Source organism: Homo sapiens, chromosome X (assembly GCF_000001405.40).
Source record: "Homo sapiens chromosome X, GRCh38.p14 Primary Assembly".
NCBI lineage: Eukaryota > Metazoa > Chordata > Mammalia > Primates > Hominidae > Homo > Homo sapiens.
The window spans coordinates 128,969,336-128,993,860 of record NC_000023.11 but is presented as its reverse complement, the minus strand read 5'-3'; the positions used below and the strand labels follow the sequence as shown (position 1 = coordinate 128,993,860).

General features: G+C 40.0%; 1 long non-coding RNA gene across 7 annotated transcripts in view; it reads left to right on the top strand.

Moving 5' to 3' along the window:
- Nucleotides 1-24,525, top strand: part of LOC124905213 (uncharacterized) — a 275,363-nt gene that overhangs the window by 192,572 nt on the left and 58,266 nt on the right. The gene's annotated exons all lie outside the window — the stretch shown is intronic.

Here is a 24,525-nt window from a genome sequence, read left to right as displayed (position 1 = left end):
GCTGATTGTGGGAGGATCGCTTGAGTACAGGAGTTTGAGGGCAGCCTGGGCAATATAGTGAGATCCCCATCTCACAGAATTTTTTTAAAAAATAGCTGGTCATGGTAGTATGTGCCTGTGGTCCCAGCTACTCAGTAAGTTGAGGTGGGAAGATTGCTTGAGTCTGGGAAGTGGAGGCTGCAGTGAGCCTTGATCATACCACTACACTCCATCCTGGGTAACAGAGCAGGACCCTATCTCAAAAAAAAGAAGATGGTTGACTAGAGGAATCTGGTATTCATCTCCTCCACAAAGAAGAACCAAAATAGTGAGTAGATAATCACACACGAATAGATCACCTAAGAGAGAATGCTAAAATTCAACACAGAAGTGATCTAAAGCAAGGAAGGAAATAAAAGTGAGGTAACCTGCTTGGCTGGGATGGGCTAGAAACCTGGAGAGGCTCCCCAGTGTGGGAAAAGTATAAGTGAGTGACCTCTAGCAGTCTACGTTCCCACTGTGGACCTCTGCAAACTTAGCCACAGGAGAGCCCCTCGACCCATATGGGTCCTGAGACTTATGTAGGGATCTGTCTGGAGACTGTGTGATGGCATTGCTCCAGAGAGGGAGCTCCCACCAGGTCCCACACACCCACTGAGTCCTAAGCAACTACAGCAGGGTGCCATTTTGAGAGCCCAGTCCCCACCAGACTGCACCCTGCCCTGTGGCCCAACAGCCCTGTATCTTCACATCCCTGGAGCCCCAGTGAAATTCCCTACCTACAGCCAGGTGCTGCTGCTGGCTGCTGCTTCCAGAGTTCAAGCATAAGCCATGGGCAGCAACCCAGCTACCCCAGTGGCAGGGCTGCCATGCATTTAAAAGCACACTAAGGAAAAGCCACCTGGTTTATAGCCACCCCTTGGGGCTGAATTGCATACTCCCCAGGCACTTGTTTATGGCTGCTGCTACTGAAAGCAACACAGACTTCCCCAGAAGTAGGATCACAGTGCAAACACTGATATCCCCACCAAAGCATTCCGCCAGGAACCTGGGAATCATTCTGCTCTTGCCTACCACACCGGGTTCCCACATACACCACTAGGGGGCACTACTGGCCTGGCGCCACCACTCCCCACCCAGTGCCCAAGCCTGCCATCCAGGTCCTAGGAATTTCCCTGCCCTATCCACCACCACTGGCACCAGCAGCATACTCTAACCAAAGGCCTAAGGACAGGTGCACCAAAACTGAAGCTACCACCACAGCTGGAACCCACCCACATCTGCCACCTGCAGGCATAGGTACTGGACCATGCACTCCACTGCAGCTACTGCCAACACCAGTGCACACTGCTTGGAAGCCAGAGGGTTATCCTGCCACTGCCATTGCCATTGCCTATGCCATTCCCACTGCTCAGTGACCCAAGGACTTGCCTGCTAACCTAGCCCACTGCTGGTACTCAAGCAACCTGCCTGGAGGCTCAAGAATTCACTAGCCTGGACCTTCTAACACTGATTCCAGTGTATGCCACCCTGGGTCACAAGGACAAGCACACTTGGTCTGATGCTTTCACTACTGGAGCCCAAGGAGTGACTCACCTGACATCCCCATCCCCCACAAAATTTAACCACAGCCTCCACTAACAAGTGCACCCTAAACCACTGAAGAAATTACGTATACTACTAATGCTGCTTACAGCTGAAGAAATAATATGTAGACTATACTATTGCACACACCCAGAATCAAAGGTAAATTGCCCTATTCAGTCAACACCATAGATATATATTTATGAAAAAGTTCTCTCCTATGAAAGCAAATTCAAAAAGTTGGAACAAATAACTTATATGACATGTGTAGATACCAATGGAAGAATATAAGAAACATGAAAATGAGAAGAAATAAGACACCTTCAAAGGAACACAGTAATTATCTAGCAACACATCCCAATCAAATATAAATTTATGAAATTCTAAAGAAGAAATTAAAATAATTATATTAGCAAAGCTCAGTGAGGTGCAAGAGAAACAAGAAAACACAAAGAAATCAGAAAAACAATTCAGGATATGAATGAGAAATTTACTGAAGAGATAGATATCATAAAAAGAACCAAATAAAAACTCTAGAATTAAATGATTGAATGAAATACAAAACACATTCAAAAGCTTCAACAATAGACTAGATCAAGCAAAATAAATAATTTCTAAACTTGAAGACAAATCTTTTGTACTAACCCAGTCAGACAAAAATAAAGAATAAAAGAGAATATACAAATCCTATTTGGCATATAGCAAACCACAAAGCAACCAAATATTCAAATTTTCAGTGTCCCAGAAGGCAGCAGAAAATGAAAGTGATAGAAAACTGATTTAACAAAACAATAGCTGAAAACTTCCCAAGTCTAGCAGAAGATTTAGACATCCAGATACAAGAAGCTCAGAAATACCCCAAAATATACAATTCAAAAAAGTTTTCTTCATGGCACATTATAGTCAAACTGTCAAAATCAAAGACAAAGAGAATTTTAAAAGCAGGAAGAGAAAACTGTATAGTCATTGATAAGGGAACCCCAATCAGACTAACGGTGGATTTCTCAGTAGAATCCTTACAGACCAGGAGAGAATGGCATAATATATTCAAAATATTCAAAGAAAAACAACCCTGCTAATCAAAAATACTATGCCCAGCAAAGTTATCCTTTATAAATGAAGGAGACTTAAAATATTTCCCAGACAAGCAAAAGCTGAGGGAATCGATCACTGCTAGACCAGCCCTACAAGAGATGCTTAAGGAAGTCCTACATGTGAAAGTGAAAGAATGATATCTACCATCGTAAAAAAATGAAATGATCAAACACGCTGGTAAAGCAAACACACAAGGAAGAGAAACGAATCAAATATTAACATCATAGAAAACCATCAAACCACAATGATAAACAATAAGAGAGAAAGGAACAAAGAATATACAAACAACCAGGGATTTATTAATAAAATGACAGAAATAAGCCCTCACATAGCAATAATAACCTTGAAGGTAAATGGATTGACTTTTCCACCTAAAAGAGATAAACTGGCTGAATAGATATTAATAAAAAAAATGAACCAACCATATCATATGTGTAAGAACCTCACTTCACTTGTAAAGACACATATAGATGGAAAATAAAGGGATGGAAAAAGATAATCCTTATAAGTGGATACCAAAATGAGCAGGAATAGCTACACTTATATGAGATAAAACAGACTTTAAGACAAAATAGTAAAAAGAGACAGGGTCATTATATAACGATAAAGGTATCAATTCAGCAAGAGGATATAGCAATTCTAAACATATAGGCACCCAACACTGGAGCACCCAGATATTCGAAGCAAATATTATTAGATCTAAAAGGAGAAAAAGATTCCAATATAATGATAGTGGGGGACTTCGACATCCCACTGTCAACATTAGACAGGTCATCTAGACAGAAAATTAACAGAGAAACATTGGATTTAATGCACTTTGGAGAAATGGACCTAACAGACATGAACAGAACACTTCATCCAACCACAGAGAATGCACTTTCTTCTCATCAGCACATGGAACATTGTCGAGGATGGAGCATAGTTTAGGATACAAAACAAGCATTAACAAATTAAAAAGTATCAAAATCATATCAAGTATCCTATGAGACCACAATGGAATAAAACTATAAATTAATAAGAACAACTTTGGGAATTCTACAAATACATGGAAATTAAACAACAACATGCTCTTGAATGACCATTGGGTGAAGGAAGAAATTAAAGAAAAACTCAAAAAATTTATTGAAACAAATAAAAATAAAAACACAGCATACCCAAACCTGTGGGATACAGCAAAATTGTGCTAAGAGGGGGATTTATAGCAATGAACACCTACATCCAAAAATTAAAAACATTTCAAGTAAACAATTTGACAGTGAACTTCAAGGAAATAGAAAAACAAAAACAAACCAAATGCCAAATTGGTAGAAGAAAAAAAAATACTAAAGATTAGAGCAGAACTAAAACAAACAAACAAACAAACAAACAAAAAACAGAATAAAAACCAATACAAAGGATCAATAACATGAAGGTTAGTTTTTTGAAAAGATTAACAAAATTCATAAAAAGATAGCTAATCAAGAAAAAAGGGAGAAGACCCAAATAAATCAGAAATGAAAAAAGAAACATTACAATTGGTACCACAGAAATACAAAAGATCATGAGAAAATTATGAACAGTAATATTTTAACAAACTGGAAAATGCACAGGAAATGGATAAATTCCTGAACAATTACAACCTACCAAGATTAAATCAGGAATAAATATAAGACCTGAAGGATCAATAATGAGTAATGGGATTAAATCTATAATAAAATGTCTCCCAATGAAGAAAATCCAGGACCAGAGGGCTTCACTGCTGAATTCTTCCAAACTTAATAAAAAGGAACTAACCCCAATTCTCCTCAAGATATTCCAAGAATTTGAAGAGGACTTAATTATTTCTAACTCACTTTACAAGGCCATCATTACCCAGATATCAAAACAAGACAAGGGTGCAACAACGACAAAACAATAAAACTACAGATATCCCTGATGAACACAGATACCAAAATCCTCAACAAAGTACTAGCCAACCTAATCCAACAGTACATAAAAAAGATAACACACCATGATCAAGTGAGATTTATCCCAGGGTTGTAAGGAAGTTTTAACATATGCAATTCAATAAACATGATACATCACACAAAGATAATGAAGGACAAAAAACATGAAAAACTCAATAGATGCAGAAAAAACATTTGATGAAATTCAACATACTTTCATGATAAAAACTCTTAACAAAGAAGGCATAGACCTCAAAATAATAAAGATCACATATGATAAACATACAACTGACATCATACTGAATGGAGAAAGCTGAAACCCTTTCCTCTAAGACAAGGATACCTGCTTTCACCACTCCTATTCAACAGAGTACTGGAAGCCCTGGCCCAAGGAATCAGTCAAGGGAAATAAATAAAAGGCATCCAAATTGGAAAAGAGGAGGTCAAGTTTTCCCTTTTTGCAGATAACATGATCTTATATCTAGAAAAACCTAAAGACTCCACCAAAAAAGTCTTAAATCTGATAAATTCAGTGAAGTATCAGGATACAAAATCAACCTACAAAAACCAGTAGTGTTTCCATACACCAATAATGAACTAGCTGAGAAAGAAATCAGGAAGACAATCCCATTTACAATACGTACAAAAAAAAAAAAAAAAGAAATTCCTAGGAATAAATTTACCAAAGAGGTGAATAACTTCTTTAAGGAAAACTATAAACCACTGATGAAAGAAATTAAGAAGACATAAACAACTAGAAATACATCCCATGTTCATGGATTGGAAGAATTAACATTAAGATGACCATATTAACCAAAACCTACAGATTCAATACAATCTCCATTGAAATACAGATGTCATTTTTTTTTACAAAACTATAAAAGACAATCCTAAAATTCTTACTGAATCAAAACTGCCTAAATAGAGAAAGCAATCTTGAGCAAGAAGACAAAGCTAGAGGCATCACAACACATAAGTTCAAAATATATTATAAGGTTATAGTAACCCAAAATGCATGATATTGTTATAAAAACAGACACATAGATCAACGGAATATAATAGAGAACCTAGAAAAAAATTTACATATGTACAGCTGAATTGATTTTCAAAAAAGGTGCCAGGAACTTACACTGGGAAAAGAACAACCTCCACAATAAATGGTGTTGGGAAAATTGGATACCTATATGTGGGAGAAAGAAATTGGACCTCTTACCATATACAAAATCAACTGACAATAAATCAAATACTTAAATGTAAGATGCCAAACCATAAAAGTACTAGGAGAAACCATAGGGGAAACACTTTGGGACACTGGTCTAGGAAAGGATTTTATGGCTAAGACAGCAAAACACAGGGAACAAGACAAAAATAGACAAATGCGACTATATTAAACTAAAAAGCTTCTGCACAGCAAAGGAAACAACAAATTGAAAAGACAGCCTGTAGAATGGGAGAAAATATTTGCAAGCTATTCATCTGGCAAGGGACTTATATCCAGAATATATGAGGAACTCAAACAACTGAACAGTAAAGAAACATAACCCCATTATAAAGTAGGCAAAAACATGAATAGATATTTCTCAAAATAAGACATACAAATGGCCAACGAGTATATTAAAAATGCTCAACAACACTAATTATCAGGGAAATACAAATCAAAAGCCCAATGCAATGAGATATCATCCTGCTTCAATTAGAATAGCTGTTATTAAAAAGACAAAAAATAACAGATGCTGGCAAGGATGTGGAGAAAAGGGAACTCTTATAACACTGTTGGTGGGAATTTAAGTTAGTATAGCCACTGTGGAAAACAGTATGGAGGTTTCTCGAAAAACAAAAAATAGAACTACTATGTGCTCCAGCAATCTTACTATTGGGTATTTATCCAAAGTAAAATAAGTCAGTATATCAAAAAGATATCTGCACCTCCATGCTTACTGCAGGACTATTCATAATGGCCAAGATATGGAATCAACCTAAGTGTTCATCAGTGGACGAATGGATAAAAGAAATGTGGTATATATACACAATGGATGTATTAGTCCATTTCCACACTGCTGCTAAAGACATACCCAAGACTGGCAAATTTACCAAAAAAAAAAAAAAAAAGAGAGAGATTTAATATATTTACAGTTCCATGTGGCTGGAGAAACCTCACAATCAAGGCAGAAGGTGAAAGGCATGTCTCACGTGGTGGCAGACAAGAGAAAAGAGCTTGTGCATGGAAACTCCCCTTTTTAAAAACCGTCAGATTTTGTGAGCCTGACTCACCACTACAAGAGCAGCACAGGAAAGACCTGCCCCCATGATCCAACCACCTCCCACCATGTCCCTTCCATGTCATGTGGGAATTGTGGGAGTTAAAATTCAAGATGAGATTTGGGTGGGGACACAGCCAGACCACATCATTCCACACCTGGCCCCTCCCAAATCTCATGTCCTCACATTTCAAAACCAACCATGCCTTCCCAACAGTCCCCCAAAGTCTTAACTCATTTCAGCATTAACTCAAAAATCCACCGTACAAAGTCTCATCTGAGACAAAGCAAGTCCCTTCTGCCTATGCGCCCATAAAATCAAAAGGAAGTTAGTTACTTCTTAGACACACTGGGGGTACAGGCATTGGGTAAATGTAGCTGTTCCAAATGGGAGGAATTGGCCAAAACAAAGGAGCTATAGGCCCAATGCAAGTCCAAAATCCATCAGGGCAGTCAAATCTTAAAGCTCCAAAATGATCTCCTTTGACTCCATGTCTCACATCCAGGTCATGCTGATGCAAGAAGTGGGCTCCCACAGCCTTGGGCAGCTCTACCCCTGTGGCTTTGCAGGGTATAGCCCCCCTTCTGGCTGCTTTCATGGGCTGGCATTGAGTATCTGTAACTTTTCCAGGTGCATGGCACAAGCTATTGGTGGATCTACCATTCTGGGGTCTGGAAGACAGTGGCCCTTTTCTCACAGCTCCACAAGGTGGTGCCACAGTAGGGACTCTGTGTGGGGGCTCTGACCCCACATTTCCCTTCCACGCTGCCCTTGCAGAGGTTCTCCATTGGAACCCCACACCTGCAGCAAACTTCTGCCTGGACATCCAGGCATTTCCATACATCTTCTGAAATCTAGGCAGAGGTTCCCAAACCCCAATTCTTGACTTCTGTTCACTGGCAGGCTCAACACTACATGGAAGCTGTCAAGGCTTGAGGCTTGCACCCTCTGAAGCCACAACCTGAGCTCTACAGGGCACCAAGCCTTTAGGCTGTACACAGCATGGGGACCCTGGGCCTGGCCCAAGAAACCACTTTTTCCTCCTAGGCCTCCAGGCCTGTGATGGGAGGGGCTGTCATGAAGACCTCTGACATACCATTTTCCCCATTGTCTTGGGGATTAACATTCAGCTCCTCATTACTTATGCAAATTTCTGCAGCCAGCTTGAGTTTCTCCTCAGAAAATGGGATTTTCTTTTCTATCACATTGTCAGGCTGCAAATTTTCTGAACTTTTATACTGTTTCCCTTATAAAACTGAATGCCTTTAACAGCACCCAAGTCATATCTTGAATGCTTTGCTGCTTAGAATTTTCTTCTGCCAGATACCCTAAATTATCTCCCTCAAGTTCAAAGTTCCACAAATCTCTAAGGCAGGGGCAAAATGCCACCAGTCTCTTTGCTAAAACATAACAAGAGTCACCTTTGTTCTAGTTCCCAACAAGTTCCTCATTTCTATCTGAGGCCACCTCAGCCTGGACTTTATTGTCCATATCACTGTCAGCATTTTGGTCAAAGCCATTCAACAAGTCTCTAGGAAGTGCCAAACTTCCCCACACTTTCCTTTCTTCTTCTGAGCCCTCCAAATTGTTCCAACCCCTCCCTGTTACTCAGTTCCAAAGTTGCTTCCACATTTTTGGGTATCTTTTCAGCAGTGCCCCACTCTACTGGTACCAATTTACTGTATTAGTCTGTTTCCATGCTGCTGATAAAAACATATCTGAGACTGGGAAATTTACAAAAGAAAGTGGTTTAATGGACTTACAATTCCATATGGCTGGGGAAGCCTCACAATCATAGTAGAAGGTGAAAGGCACATCTCACATGGTGGCAGACAGGGGAAGAGAGCTTGCGCAGGGAAACTCCCCCTTTTTAAAATCATCAGATCTCATGAGATCCACTCACCACCACAAGAACAGCACAGGAAAGACGCACCCCCATGATCCAACCACTTCCCACCACGTCCCTGCCATGACACGTGGGAATTGTGGGAGTTACAATTCAAGATGAGATTTGGGTAGGGACACAGCCAAACCACATCAATGGAATACTGTTTGGCCATTAAAAAGAATGAAATAATGCCATTTCCAGCAACATAGATAAAACTGGAGGTCATTATGTTACACGAAGTAAGCCAGGCACAGGGAGACAAATATTGCATGTTCTCACTCATATGTGGTAGCTAAAATTGTTGCTCAAATGGAGGTAGAGAGTAGGATGGTAGAAACTAGAAGCTGGGAAGGATGTGCATATATTTGGTGGGGAATGAGATGAGGTTGGTTAATGGGTATAAACATACAGTTAGATGGAATAAGTTCTAATGTTTGATAGCAGAGCAGGGGGACTACAGTTAACAGTATATTGTATATTTCAAAATAGCTAGCAAAGAGGACTTGAAACATTTCCAGCACATAGAACTGATCAATACTTGAGGTGATGGGTACCTTAAATGCCCTCACTGGATCACTATATATTCTATGCATGTAACAAAATATCAAATATATCCCATATGTACAAATATTGTGTCAATAAAAGTAATTACTCTTTCTCTGCATTCTTGCAGACTTCTTTTTTTCTGTCTTTTTAATAGCCATTCTTCCTGGTGTAAGATGATATCTCATTTTGGTTTTGATTTGCATTTCTCTGATGATTAGACATGTTCAGCATTTTTTTTTTTTTTTTGAGACAGAATCTCGTTCTGTTGCTCAGGTTGGAGTGCAGTGGCATGATCTTGGCTCACGGTAGCCTTCATCTCTCTGGCTCAAGTGATCCTCCCTCATCAGCCTCTTGAGTAGCTGGGACTACAGGCACGTGCCACCACACTGGGCTAACTTTTTTAACTTTTAAGTTCAGGTGTAAAAGTGCAGGCTTGTTATATATGTAAACTTGTGTCACGGGGTTTTTTTGTACAGATTATTTAATCACCTAGGTATTAAGCTGGTGCCCATTAGTTATGCTTCCTGATCCGCTCCTTCCTCTCACCCTTCACCCTCAGATAGGCCCCACTGTCTGTTTTTTCCCTCTATGTGTCCATGTGTTTTCATCATTTAGCTCCCACTTATCAGTGAGAACATATGGTATTTAGTTTTCTGTTCCTGCATTAGTCTGCTAAGGATAATGGCCTCCACCTCTATCCATGTTCCTGAAAAAGATATAATCTCATTCTTTTCATGGCTGCATAGTATTCCATGGGGTAAATGTACCACATTTTCTTTATCCAGTCTATCATTGGCGGTCATTTAGGTTGATTCCATGTCTTTGCTATTGAGAATAGTGCTACAACAAACATATGCATGCATGTTTCTTTATGATAGAATAATTTATATTCCTTTGGTTTATACCCAGGAATGGGATTGCTGGGTCAAATAGTAGTTCTGTTTTTAGGTCTTTGGGGAATTGCCACAATGTATTCCACAATGGTTGAACCAATATACACTCCCACCAACAGTGTACAAGCATTCCTTTTTCTCTGCAACCTTGACAGCATCTGTTATTTTTTGACTTCTTAGAAATAGCCATTCTGGCTGGTGTGAGATAGTATCTTGTTGTGGTTTTGATGTGCATTTCTCTAATGATAAGTGATATTGAACTTTTTTCATAGGCTTGTTTGTTGCATGTATATCTTCTTTTGAAAACTGTCTGTGTCCTTTGCCCAGTTTTTAATGGGGTTCATTGCTTTTTCTTGTAAATTTGTTTAAGTTCCTTATAGATGTTGGATATTAGATCTTTGTCAGAATCATAGTTTGCAAAAATTGTCTCCCTTTCTGTAGGTTGTCTGTTCACTCTGTTGATAGTTTCTTTTGCTATGCAGAAGCTCTAAAGTTTAATTATATCCCATTAAACAATTTTGGCTTTTGTTGTAATTGCTTTTGACATCTTTGCCATGAAATCTTTGCCTGTTCCTATGCCCATAATGGCATTGCCTAGGTTGTCTTCCAGAGTTTTTATAGTTTTGGGTTTTAAATTTAAGTCTGTAATTCACCTTAAGTTGATTTTTGTATATTGTGTAAGGAAGGGGTCCAGTTTCAATCTTCTGCATATGGCTAGCCAGGTATCCCAGCACTACTTGTGGAATTGGGAGTTCTTTCCCCATTGCTTGTTTTTATCAGCTTTGTTAAAGATCAGATGGTTGTAGGTGTGTGGCCTTATTTCTGGGCTCTCTATTCTGTTCCATTGATCTATGTGTCTTTGTACCAGCACCATGCTGTTTTGGTTACTGTAGCCCTGTAATGCCATTTGAGTTTGGGTAGCCTGATGCATCCAGATTTGTTCTTTTTGCTTAGAATTGCCATGGCTAGTCTGGCTCTTTTTTTGCTTCCGTATGAATTTAAAATTTTTTTTTATAGTTCTGTGAAGAATGTTACTGGTAGTTTCATAGAGATAGCATTGTATCTATAAATTGCTTTCGGTGGTATGGCCGTCATAATGATATTGATTCTTCCTATCCATGAGCATGGACTGTTTTTCCATTTGTTTGTGTCATGTCTGATTTCTTTGAGCAGTGTTTTGTAATTCTCATTGTAGAGATCTTTCACCCCCCTGCTTAGCTGTATTCCTATGCATTTTATTCTTTTTTTGTGGCAATTGTGAATGGAAGTTAATTCCTGATTTGGCTCTTGGCTTGACTGTTGTTGTTGTATAAGAATGCTAGTTATTTTTATACATTGATTTTTGTCTCCTGAGACTTTGCTGAAGTTATCAGCTGAGGTAGCTTTTGGGATGAAACTACAGGGTTTTCTAGATAAAGAATCATGTTATCTACAAACAGGGATGGTATGACTTCCTCTCTTCCTATATGGATGCCCTTTATTTCTTTCTCTTGCTTGATTGCTTTGGCCAGGACTTGCAGTACACTGTTGAATAGGGATGTTGAGAGAGGGCATCCTTGTCTTGTGCCAGTTTTCAAGGGGAATACTTCTAGCTTTTGCCCATTTAGTATGGTGTTGGCTGTGGGTTTGTCATAGGTAGCTCTCATTATTTTGAGGTATGTTCTTTCAATACCTAGTTTAAGAGTTTTCGGCCAGGTGTGGTGGCTCACGCCTGTAATCCCAGCACTTTCGGAGGCCAAGGTAGGTGGATTGCCTGAGGTCAGGAGTTCAAGACCAGCCTGGCCAACATGGTGAAACCCCATCTCTACTAAAAATACAAAAAGTTAGCTGGGTGTGGTGATGGGCACCTGTAATCCCAGCTACTTGGGAGGCTGAGGCAGGGGCATCGCTTGAACTCGGGAGGCGGAGGTTACAGTGAGTCGAGATCATGCCACTGCACTCCAGCCTGGGTGACACAGTGAGACTCCATCTCAAGAAAAAAAAAAAGAGAGAATTTTCAACATGAAAATGTGCTAAATTTTATTGAAAGCCTTTTCTGCATCTATTGAGATAATAACGTGAGTTTTGTCTTTAGTTCTGTTTATGTGATGAGTCATATTTATTGAATTGTGTATGTTGAACCAACCTTTTATCACAGGGATAAAACCTGCTTGATTATGCATACTGGGCCAATATTTTTATTTTTTGTAGAGATGAGGTCTCACTATGTTGTCCAGGCTGGTCTCGAGCATTTTTAAACATACCTTTTGACCATTTGTATGTCTTTCTTACATTAATTTTTTATTTTTATTTTTTGTGGGTACATAGTTGGTATATATACTTGTGGGTTAGCTGAGATATTTTGATACAGGCATGCAATGTGTAATATAATAAGCACATAGCACATCAGGGTAAATGGGGTATCCATCACATCAACCATTTATCCTTTGTGTTAAAATCCAATTATACTCTTTTACTGTTTTTTCTTTGAGATGGAGTCTCCCTCTGTCACCTAGGCTTGAGTGCAGTGGTGTGGTCTCGGCTCACTGCAACCTCTGCCTCCTGGGTTCAAGCAATTCTCCTGCCTCAACCTCCAGAGTAGCTGGGACTACAGGCACACACCAGCATGCCTGGCTAATTTTTTTGTATTTTTAGTAGAGATGGAGTTTCATCATGTTGGCCAGGCTGGTCTCAAACTCCTGACCTCAGATGATCTGCCCACCTTGGCCTCCCAAAGTGTTGGGATTACAGGAGTGAGCCACCGCACCTGGCCAATTATATTCTTTTACTTATTTTTAAATGTACAATTAAATTAATTTTTACTATAGTCACCTTGTTGTGCTAGCAAATACTAGGTCTCATTTAGTCTTTCCAACAATTTTTTTTCTTTTTTACTCATTAACAATCCCCACTTCCCTTCCCAGCCTCTGGTTACCATTCTTCTAGTCTCTATTTCCATAAGTTCAATTGTTTTTATTTTTAGATCCCACAAATAATTGAGAACACGCAATATTTGTCATTCTGTTCCAGGCTTATTTCACTTACCATAATGACCTCCAATTCCACCTGTGTTGTTGCAAGTGACAGAATCTCATTCCTTATTTTATGGCTGAATAGTACTCCATTGTGTATATGTACCACATTTTCTTTATCCATTCATCCATTGATGGATGCTTAGGTTGTTTCCAAATATTAGCTATTGTAAATCGTGCTGCAGTAAACATGGCAGTGCAGGTATCTCTTCAATATACTGATTTCCTTTCTTTTGGGTGTATACCTAGGAGTGAGATTGGTGCATTTTACAGTAGCTCTACTTTTAGTTTTTTTGAGAAACCTCCAAACTATTCTCCATAATGGTTGTACTAATTTACATTCCCACCAACAGGGTGCGAGAGTTTCCTTTTTTCCACATCCTCGCCGGCATTTGTTATTGCCTGTCCTTTGGATATAAGCCATTTTAACTAGGGTGAGATGATATCTCATTGTAGTTTTGATTTGCATTTCTCTGATGATCTTTGATGCTGAGCACCTTTTCATATACCTGTTTGCCATTTGTATGTCTTCTTTTCAGAAATGTCTATTCAGATATTTAGCCCATTTTTAGTTTTTAAAATTATTTCAATAGATTTTGGGGAACAGGTGGTGTTTGGTTACATGGATAAGTTATTTAGTGGTGATTTCTGAGATTTTGGTGCACCCATCACCTGAGCAGTGTACACTGTACCCAATGTGTAGTCTTTTATCTCTCATCCCTCTCCCATCCTCCCCTGCCCCGAGTCCCCAAAGTCCATTGTATCAGTCTTATGCCTTTGTATCCTCATAGCTTAGTGCCCCCTTATAAGTGAGAACATACAATGTTTGGTTTTCCATTCCTGAGTGATTTCACTTAAAATAATGATCTCCAACTCCACCCCGGTTGCTGCATCCATTATTTTGTTCATTTTTCTGGCTGAGTAGTATTCCACAGTGTGTGTGTGTGTGTGTGTGTGTGTGTGTGTGTGTGTGTGTGTGTATGTATGTATATGTATATATATATGTATATGTGTATATATATGTATGTGTATATATATGTATATGTGTATATATGCATGTATATGTGTATATATATGTATATGTATACATAATCTATATATATATATAAATATATATGTGTGTGTGTGTATAATTGCCTTTATTCCCTCATTGGTGGATGGTCATTTAGGCTGGTTCCATATATATATATACATATATATATATATATACACACACACACATATATATATACATATATATACATATATACATATATATACACACACATATATATATATACACACATATATATATACACACACATATATATATACACACATATATATATATACACACACATATATATATATACACACACATATATATATATATAGTTTTTGAGATGGAGTTTCACTCTTGTTGCCCAGGTTGGAGTGCAATAGTGCGATCTGAGCTCACTGCAACCTCCGCCTCCCGGCTTCAAGCAATTCTCCTGCTTCAGCCTCCCAAGTAGCTGGGATTATAGGCATGTGCCACCACACCTGGCTAATTTTGTGTTTTTAGTAGAGGTGGGGTTTCTCCATGTTGGTCAGGCTGGTCTTGAACTCCTGACCTCAGGTGATCTGCCCACCTTGGCCTCCCAAAGTGCTGGGATTACAGGTGTGAGCTACTGTGCCGGGCTGGTTCCATATTTTTGCAATTGTGAATTTTGCTGCTATAAACATGCATGTGCAAGTGTCTTTTTCACATGACGACTTCTTTTCCTCTGGGTAGATACCCAGTAGTGGGATTGCTGGATCAAATGGTAGTTCTACTTTTAGTTCTTTAAGGAATCTCCATACTGTTTTCCATAGTGGTTATACTGGTTTGCATTCCCACCAGCAGTGTAAAAGTGTTCCCTTTTCACCATATCCACACCAGCATCTATTTTTTTTTATTTTTAAATTATGGTCATTCTTGCAGGAGTAAGATGCTATTGAATTGTGGTTTTGATTTGCATTTCCCTGATAATTATTGATGTTGTGCATTTTTCCATATGCTTGTTGGCCATTTATATATCTTCTTTTGATAATTATCTATTTATGTATGTCCTTAGCTGACTTTTTGATAAGATTATTTTTTTCTTCCTGATTTGTTTGGGTTCCTTGTAAATTCTGGATACTAGTCCTTTGTCAGATGCATAGTTTACAAAAATTTTCTCCCACTCTGTGGGTTGTCTGTTTACTCTGCTGATTGTTTCTTTTGCTGTGCAGAAGTTTTTTAGTTTATGTCCCATCTAGTTATCTTTGTTTTTGTTGCATTTGCTTTTGGGTTCTTGGTCATGAACTCTTTGCCTAAGCCAATGTCTGGAAGAATTTTCCTGATGTTATCTTCTAGAACTTTTATGGTTTCAGGTCTTAAATTTAAGTCTTTGATCCATCTTGAGTTGATTTTGTATAAGGTGAGAGATGAGGATCCAGTTTCATTCTTCTCTTCCACCTGCTTTCACCATGTGACATGTCTGCTACCCTTTCACCTCCTGCCATGATTGAAAGCTCCCCGAGGCCTCCCCAGGGACCTTTCTATCCCAGGGAACCAATAGGATAAATATATACATAAATAAAATAAGGATTTAGCTCATGTGATTATGGAGGCTAACAAGCCCCAAGATCTGCAGCTGGCAAGCTGGATACCCAGGAGAACCAATGATGTAAATTCTAGTCTGAAAGCCAGGAGGCTGGAGACCTAGGAAGAGATAATGTTTCAGCTTAAGTCAGAAGGCTGGACAAAACTAATGTCCCACATTAAAGGCAGTCAGACAAGAGGAAGAGGAATCCTCTCTTACTCACAGAAGGATCAGCCTTTTTGTTCTAGTCAGGCTTTCAACTGATTGGATGTGGTCACCCACATTGGGGAGGGCCATCTGCTTTACTTAATCTACCAATTCCAATGTTAGTCTCATCCAGAAACACTTTCAGACATACCCAGAGTAATGCTTGACCAAATATCTGGGTACATCATGTCCCAATCAGATGGAAACAAAATTAACCATTGCAGGGACTGTTTTTATTAGTTAAACCTTTGTTTATCCCTTTGTGCTGTTGCAAAATCTTATCTTTATCTTGAAACTGAAGTGTAATTGTAGCATTGAGGTGCTGGTAGACTTCCAATGTCTGGAACTTTCTAGGTCTGCATGTAGCATGCCCCAAGCCACATTCTATGCCCTGGGAAACCTCACTGTACCCTATATTCTAAAGTGGTTTTAGATCTTTAGTTTTGTGAAAATAATTTTATACCAACCAATTTTGCTAATTAAAGCAATTCTTAAAAAAAGAAGCTTGTCAACAAATACATGCACATTGAAACATTTCTGAAATGCAATAGGGCAACTGGCTTCAAAAGACAAGGATTTTAGAAATCTTCATTTCCTTATTATGTTTGCTTAAAGGGAGGCATAGCTCGAGCTGCTTGCTCATTCCCCTTGATCAATGAGGACTTCTACTTGTTAAGTAAGGGAAATTACTAATTGTATTTATTTTCTTGTATGATGCTATGTCAAAGCAGAGTGAGGTTGAAAGCCCAACTATCTAGGGGCATTTGTCCTTTTAATTTTTCCCCCTAAATCCTTTTATTAACTCTGGTTCTGAACCTATTCTGTTTTCCAGAAGATGTGTAGGTAGGATAAATGAGAATATACTAGGCAAAGGTCAATGTGGGTGGAGGGGATGAGAGTCCTGCTCAGAAATGCTCTGCTTAGTCTCCTCTGGAGTATGGCAGATGGGGAGGGGCACCATTGCTGCTGAGGTGCAGTCAGAGACCCATAGCTGTACGGGGAGCAGGAGGAGGCAGGGTTAATATCAGAAAAGATAATTAGTCACAGCCTGTGATCTTCCAACCTCACAATCCCCTGTAGCCTGCTTCTCACATATTAAATATGTATCTGTGGTGTATGGGTGGCTGGGGATAGAGTAAAAGAGGCCTCATACAATGCAATGTGTTTGGCCCTAGCTGGCCAAGAGGGTAGCTCTTTGGAGGTTTTGTTAAAAATCAGGGAAGGGGAAAGAAGATGTTTACAGAATGGCAAGTAGAGATAGTAAGCCCTGTCAGGGAGCCAAAGTCAGAACAAAGGGGAGACCTTGAACTCTCAGAAATGCTCTGGGTGCATCTCATTTGACACAACGAACCATTCCCCAAAAAGGCTTGCGCCCATCTCTCGCTCCTGTACCTTCAATTTAAAGGCTATTTGGTTGGCTTGTTATACACTGGAAGCCCATAGGGCCAGGAGAGACAAGAATAACGCTGGAAGCGTCAGCACAGCAGATCCTACAAAGTGGAGTCGTTTGAACAACAAAAAGCAAAGAAAACAATAGGAGACCAATTCCAAGGAATGGGGCAGAACAGAAGAGCCCTGTAACATCGGAAGAGAGATGCAGGAAACGGCATATAAAGCAACTGTGATTTCTCTAAAAGGGGGCTTTTGCTTTATTTTTCATCTCTCAAAAGGTGTCAACTTAAGAAAACTTCACAGCTCCTGTGGGCTGCTTGCCCTCAAAGGGAAATGAATTATTTAGAAGTGTGATGAATAGTTCATCAAACCTTCCTCCAACAGGGTTGCTGCTTAGGCTCAGAGTAATTGGCCAGGAGCAGGAGCAGGGCAGGCCCTTTCCTCAGTGGTTCTTTCTTCCCCTCTGGAGGGGGCCTTGAGTTGGGAGGGTGAGGATGACTGCCTAGGGTGGATCTTTCATCCCAGATGAGAACAGAGGCAGACACGAAAACCGCGGTAATTCCCAGGACAGGCCTGCAGGAGGAGCCAGCGCCCTTCAGTGGAACAAGCTATCTTAGGAAGGGAGGGCTCTTACCTGGGAAGGCTCCAAGGAGCCTCAGATTGCGCCCTAAATCCCAATCTCCCATCCGGTGGAGCAGGCTGCAGGTGCTCCCATGCCATTTCATCCTCTGCTTTCACTATTGCAGACCCTGGGGGGTTGGGGGTCTGTACAAGAGAAGGTTGTGTAGCAGAAGGAGAAGTGTGGTGCAACATGCAGCCACAAAGCTACGCTTCCAAGCCAGCCTCTGAACAGCCTTGCTTTCCCCTGCAATGTTCCCTTTCTCTTTCACCCCTTCCTCTCACACATACCACCCACCCATTCAGGTCCACACCCCTACACATTTAGTGGAAATGGTCAAAGGTTTAGGCCCAGCCTTATAAAAACAGATTCCAGACTGAAGAGGCTGTATCTTTTTAAAGGCAAAGAACACATATGATTTAGAGTTTGTAAAATCACTGACAATTGGAAGAAGACAGACAAAAACTATTCCTGGCCTCAGCCTGATCAGTAGATGAGGTGAGAGGCAATAGATATAGCGCCTCTCTTTAGTCTGTCAAATGTGGGCACAAATCAGGGCTTTGCTCCTAAGCTGTTTGACCTTATCCTGGGGGCTCCCAACCTCCGGGCTGCAACTGTGCTGGTCCAGACCGTGGCCTGTTAGGAACCAGGCTGCGCAGCAGGAGGTGAGCTGTGGGCCAGTGAGTATTACCACCTGAACTCTGCCTCCTGTCAGATCAGCGGTGGCATTAGATTCTCGTAGGACCAGGAGCTCAAACCCTATTGTGAACTGCGCATGCGAGAGATCTAGGTTGTGTGCTCCTTATGAGAATCTAACTAATGCCTGATGATCTGAGGAGGAACAGTTTCATCCTGAAACCACCTCCCCTCCCCCACTGCTGTCCATGGAAAAACTGCCTTCTGGTACCCAAAAAGTTGGGGACTGCTGCTTTAGACCCTTCACATAACCTCTCTGAGCTTCAGTTTCCCTGTCTGTAAATTGGAAATGGTAATGTACATTTCACAAGGATATTGGGAGGATTAAATGAGCTAACTTTTGTAAAGTTCTTGGTCTATAGTAACGATTTGATAAATGCCAACTATTTTTCTTGCTTTTTATCTTATCATCATATTTCCACATTTGTCATAGATCATATGGGGAACTGGGCGGAAGAATTTGAATGAGTCTGGGAAAATCAGCTCCTTACTGTTAGAGAAAACATTCATATTCCCATCCTATTTCTTCTAGCAATGGACAGCTCTTCTCATCAAACTGCTGTTGCTGTGCTAATGATAGTGAATTCTCTCTCCCTCCGTCCTTCTTCCCTTCCTCTGCTTCTCCCTCTCCCTCTCCTTCTTCTTCTGCCTCCTTCCTTCCCTTCTGCCTCTTGTATTCTGGGGGAATTTTCCTGAGATGCTGTGAAATGTCTGCTTTTTAGTAACAAGTTCTATTATTAAAGGATTCGTGTTATATTACTAAGCCCATTTGGCTACAACTTCATTGCCTACCATTCCAAACCTAACTCTACTTCACACCAAGAAGAGTAATTTAACTACACATATGCAAAAATAAATGTCCCATTGGACTTCTGTTCTTCTAAAAGATTTAGAAAATTATTTAGTACAATTACTTCTAATATGCACCCATCAGCTCTGACATGGTTCTGTGAAAAACAGTTGTGGTCATTTCACTCAAAGTAATGGATTAAGATAATAAATCTGACAAGGCCTGCCTAGCAAAGTTAACATTGAACCAGTATAGTCCTTTTACCATTGTTTGTAATTACCTCTTTTGACAGAGAAAATGTTCTGAGTAGGAGCAAGTTACGTCTCCCAATGAATGTGAAAAGTTGCAAATTTGGGGCCTCCACCTGTAGGAAGCTCATAAGCTCAGTTGCAAAAAGCTCCTGGCAATTGCTGCTGGGTGTTTTCCACTCAGTGCCACAGTGTTCTCTGTGGATGAGGAGCAGTAAGCTTGCTGTCAGCTAAAGAGCCTAGGATAAATGCAAATCATCCTCAAGCTTTTGCATATGAGAAGCAAGTGGCCAGGAGACTTCCAAATGCCCACTAATAGGTTATGGCTGTATGTTGATTCATACATCCACCCAATGTTTACACCTAGCATCTACAGAATTCTAGGCAATTGAACTACAGAAAGGACTAACACAAGGTTTCTGCCCTCAGGGAGCTTACAGTGTAGTCATGGAAACAGGCACATTTAATGAGTCTAAATTTAGAGACAAATACTGGATACGTCTGGCAAACTTCTGTGGTGAGTCCTCTATGCCATCTGTCTTTAATTATCTGACCAAATTCATGTGGAAGAAGGGTTTGATTTGCTCTCCATAACCATTCAAGTCAGAGCAAAGAATTAAGAATAAAAATAATTCGACTTTTTGAATTCTGCCTTTGTACCAGGCACTTAACACATATTGTCTCATTTAATCCTTATAGCAACTATAATAGTCTGCTCAGGCTGCCATAACAAAATACCATTGACTGGGTGGCTTAAATAACTGAAATTTATTTTCTCACGGTTCTGGAGGCTAGGAAGCCCAAGATCAAGGTACCAGCCTACTTGGTTCCTGGTGATGGCACTCTTCCTGGCTTGCAGACGGCTGCCTTCTAGCTGTATGGTCACATGGCCTTTTCTTGGTACCTGTGTATGGAAAGGGGAAGTGGGAGAGTTTTCGTCTTTTTATAAGGCCACAGTTATATCAGACTGGGCCCTGCCTTTATGCTCTCACTTTACCTTAATTACCTCCTAAAGATTCTATCTCCAGAAACAGAAACTGGGGATTAAGTTTTCAACATATTAATTTTTTGGGGCACACAGTTCAGTCCATAGCAGCAACCTTATATCTTAGATTATTATCCCTGTTTTTCAGATGAGAGAAAACCTGCTCAGAGAGGTTAAGTAACTTCTCCAAGATTACACAACTAAGAAGTTGCAGAGATAAGAGTCTATGTCTGTCTGACTAAAGGACAACTGTTTTTGTGTGCTGTACTGTTTCTGTTTTGCTTCTTGAATTAGTGGCATCTCCCACTCCACTGTGTAGTACATTTTGAGTCAATATAAGAGAAGACTTTGATGTTTGGAATAATTAGAGCTGGTAACAGGGTCTCTATCACAGGCAGTGTTAAGCAGTGTATAGATATTGTAGAGGAGATTCTTGGAGTGGGTGGAATATTGTACCAGAGCAATGATTTCCAAAGAGTGCCAAGTGACGGGGTGGGCCTTGGGGTGCCTACCCCACATCTTCTTCAATCAAAGCCACTCAGAGTTCATCTACTGAAACGATAATCCAACATTTATTGAGCATTTACCAGGTACTGTTGCATAAACTTCCCATGTATTCATTTATTCAATCATTTGCAACAGTACCAAGAGGTAGGTACTGTTATTACCCCCATTTTACAGATGGCAAAACAAAAACAAAAACAAAAACAAAAACTGAGGCATGGAGAAACAAAGAAACTTGTCCAAGGTCACACAGGTTGGGTAAGTGGAGGTGGGATTTGAACCCAGGGCTGCCCAGCATGAGAGCCTGTACTCAATAAGCAGTATGCCAACCATCTTCTCAATTTTGTTAGGAATACTGAGTTTCTTTGAAAGAATTCATATGAATAAAGAGTGATATGGATTGAAATTTTTGAAAATCGCTGTCTTTTATGGAGTTTTCAAGTTTCATTGGTTCAATAATCATTCTCTGGGTTGAGACGGTCAAGAACCTCTGGTGACACTTTCTACCAAGATAAGACCTTGGCTTCAGCCTCTGACTGTGGACTTGAATCTTTCTTTTAGCTTTGTTAAGCCAGAATTTGCTAGGTTTGGCCATGGTTGTACCTATAGACTGGCAAGTTGCCACAGCCTGACTTGGTCTCCCAGTTCTGAACTTGCTCTCTAGCTTACAGTGCTGTGGTTGGGTCCATAACATTTCTACACACAGAAACCATCCATCAGTCCCACCCAACTTGAGCATAAACTGGGATTAAGGTTCACTGGACACAATGAACTGGTGGAACATGTAAGCCTCAGGAACCTCCTCAGGAAAGACTTCCCTGAAAAAGAAGGAGCCAATCAGGAGTGATGAGCCTGACCCTGCGAGAAAGCCCTCATCATCAGAGTAGAGGGGAACAATCACTGTACAACATGGTTGTCTGTCTCTCAGATTTGTCTCCTAGCCAAGACCACCATGGACTCTTGACTCAGTGCTGTGAATAGGAGGCATGCACATAAAACCTAAGAGCACTGGTTCATGCAAAACTCCATAAGACACCTAGGCACCAGTATTGCTGCTTAAGTGTGGCTCTAACAGAATCAAACCTGAATAACAAAGTCAGTCATTTAGTTACCAATATGGGTTGTACACCCATGGTGTTCACAGTCCAGTGCTTGGTTTTCTGCTGAGTAAGAAACATGAGTTTTTATCAGCAAGGGAATACAGTATAGGGGAAGAACATAGTCTTTATTTAATGGTGTCGAGGAGGAAGAGAAGAAAAGTACAGCATTAGACAGAAGCATGCATGGCCAGAAAGCATCTAAATGTTTATAGACTGCATATAGTCCTGTTATCAGAGATTCATCTTCCATATCTTCCCAATGGGACTATTAATACCTACCTTGCAGGGTTGTTGGGTAGATTAAATAAAAAAATATATATAAATGGATATAAAATGTCTTGTTCAGTTCCTGTTAACCCAAGAGCACTGATAAATGGAAGATATTATTCTTATTGGTTGGAGTAATAGTATTGTTACTATCTTATTATTAGCACCCGTGAAATATGTTGTTCTAAGTAGCAAAAATATATGAATCTAGGGACAGTCTAAATAGTGGTTATGTTTTATTTGTCAATACCAATGTTAGGAGCTTAATTCTTGTGACCTTCCTATTGAATATGCTCTGGATGTTACTTCTGTCTTACTGTCTGGGTAGGGATTTCCCTGAAAGCAGGGATTTCATTCCCACCAAATTAGAAACTTGCTATGGAAGAGAATCACATCTTCCCAGCTCTACTGTAGAGTCTACCATCAGATACGAGGCAGCCTGAAAATTGGGTGCGAGCCTCCAACAGTGGATTTTAGTTTTCTCCAAGGACATAGATACTTTCATCTAGAGCCCACAGGTGGTCATTTGGTACATGATGTTCTTGAGTGGAATAAGATAATAGCAATCTCCATTTTATTACTGGTTAATGTCTTGGTATTATAGTTGGATTGAGCTAGATTGAGAAGGCAGAAAAGGGATGGGAGCAGGTAGGGTCCAGATGCCTCATCATAGTTGAGTTTCTATGGAATATCAAAAACCATTTTACCCTCCAAAATTTTGCAGCTGCCAAATGTCCCCAGACGCTGCACTGAGATGTTTTCCTTTATTTTTAAGCCTAGGCACATTTCAGGCCCTATTGAATGCATGTGCTTCCAATTGATTTACATTTAACACATCAAAATGTTGTTTTGTAAGAGATTTGATATCCAAGAAGCCTGCTGAGCTGCTTTTATGAACATTTTAAAGCCTTTTTCTTTGAAGGGATTGAAACCTGGGTGGTACTCTTTGTTGTTTCCAGCCTCAGATGGCCAGAGACTGCTGGAATAGTAGAGGGTATCCTGGGATGGCCTGCATCTTGTAGAGTGACTGGGCGTCTGGGAGAGGCAAGAGGATGAAGAGGGTTGTGGATCAAATGTGGATGGGGCACGTTCTTTGTGCATCATGACCAGACAGACATCTGAAGTCCCAAATATTGCCTGTTAAAACCAAATTTGAGTCCTAGCTGTTTCAATGAATCTTTATTTCTTCTTGTTTAGACTTTATCTTCTTCAATTTCTTAACCTTTATTGTTCAAACCACAGTGCAGGACACAGAGAATTTGCTTTACTGAAATGTTACTGTGGCCGGGAGATGTGGAGTGGGAGGTATCTGTTGGAAGAGCAAAAAATGTAAAAGATATAAAGTGCCATTGGAGATGCAAGAGTGTTACTTACAAAGCACCTAATCTTGTGGCTCTAAACACAAATGCCCGTAGGTGTAGCTTGTGAGTGGAAGGCATTAGGGAGTGGGACTTTGGAGAAGCAGAGCATGTATTCTCCATCTAAAATCATTAAAAATATTTGAACACTGTCCAGACCAAACAAAGCATATTAGAATGCCCAGTTCACTATACAGTCTCCAGTGTGCAGTACCTTTATCTAAATCAGCCCTCAAATCTATTAATGAGGAAACTAAAACTTGAGAGCTGCAAAATGCACCTAGTACTTAAAGCCCGTTTCTCTCCTGAATCCTTTACCTCATTGATACACCAAAGCTGCAAAATGCACCCAGCTAGTAAGTGGCGGAAAGAGACTCAAACTTAAGATTTTGGAGTGTAAACACTTCAAGTCCAGTGCATTTTGTCATTGTCATTATACTATGCTACCTCCTTAGATTAAACCTTATAAGTTAGGAAAAAATTACATCTATATATTTCATATATATATATATGAAACCAATGAAGGAAACTTATGAACCACACAATGCCTAGTGCTGGTAGTTTAGTGGGGGGAAGATTGACAAATTGACAGTG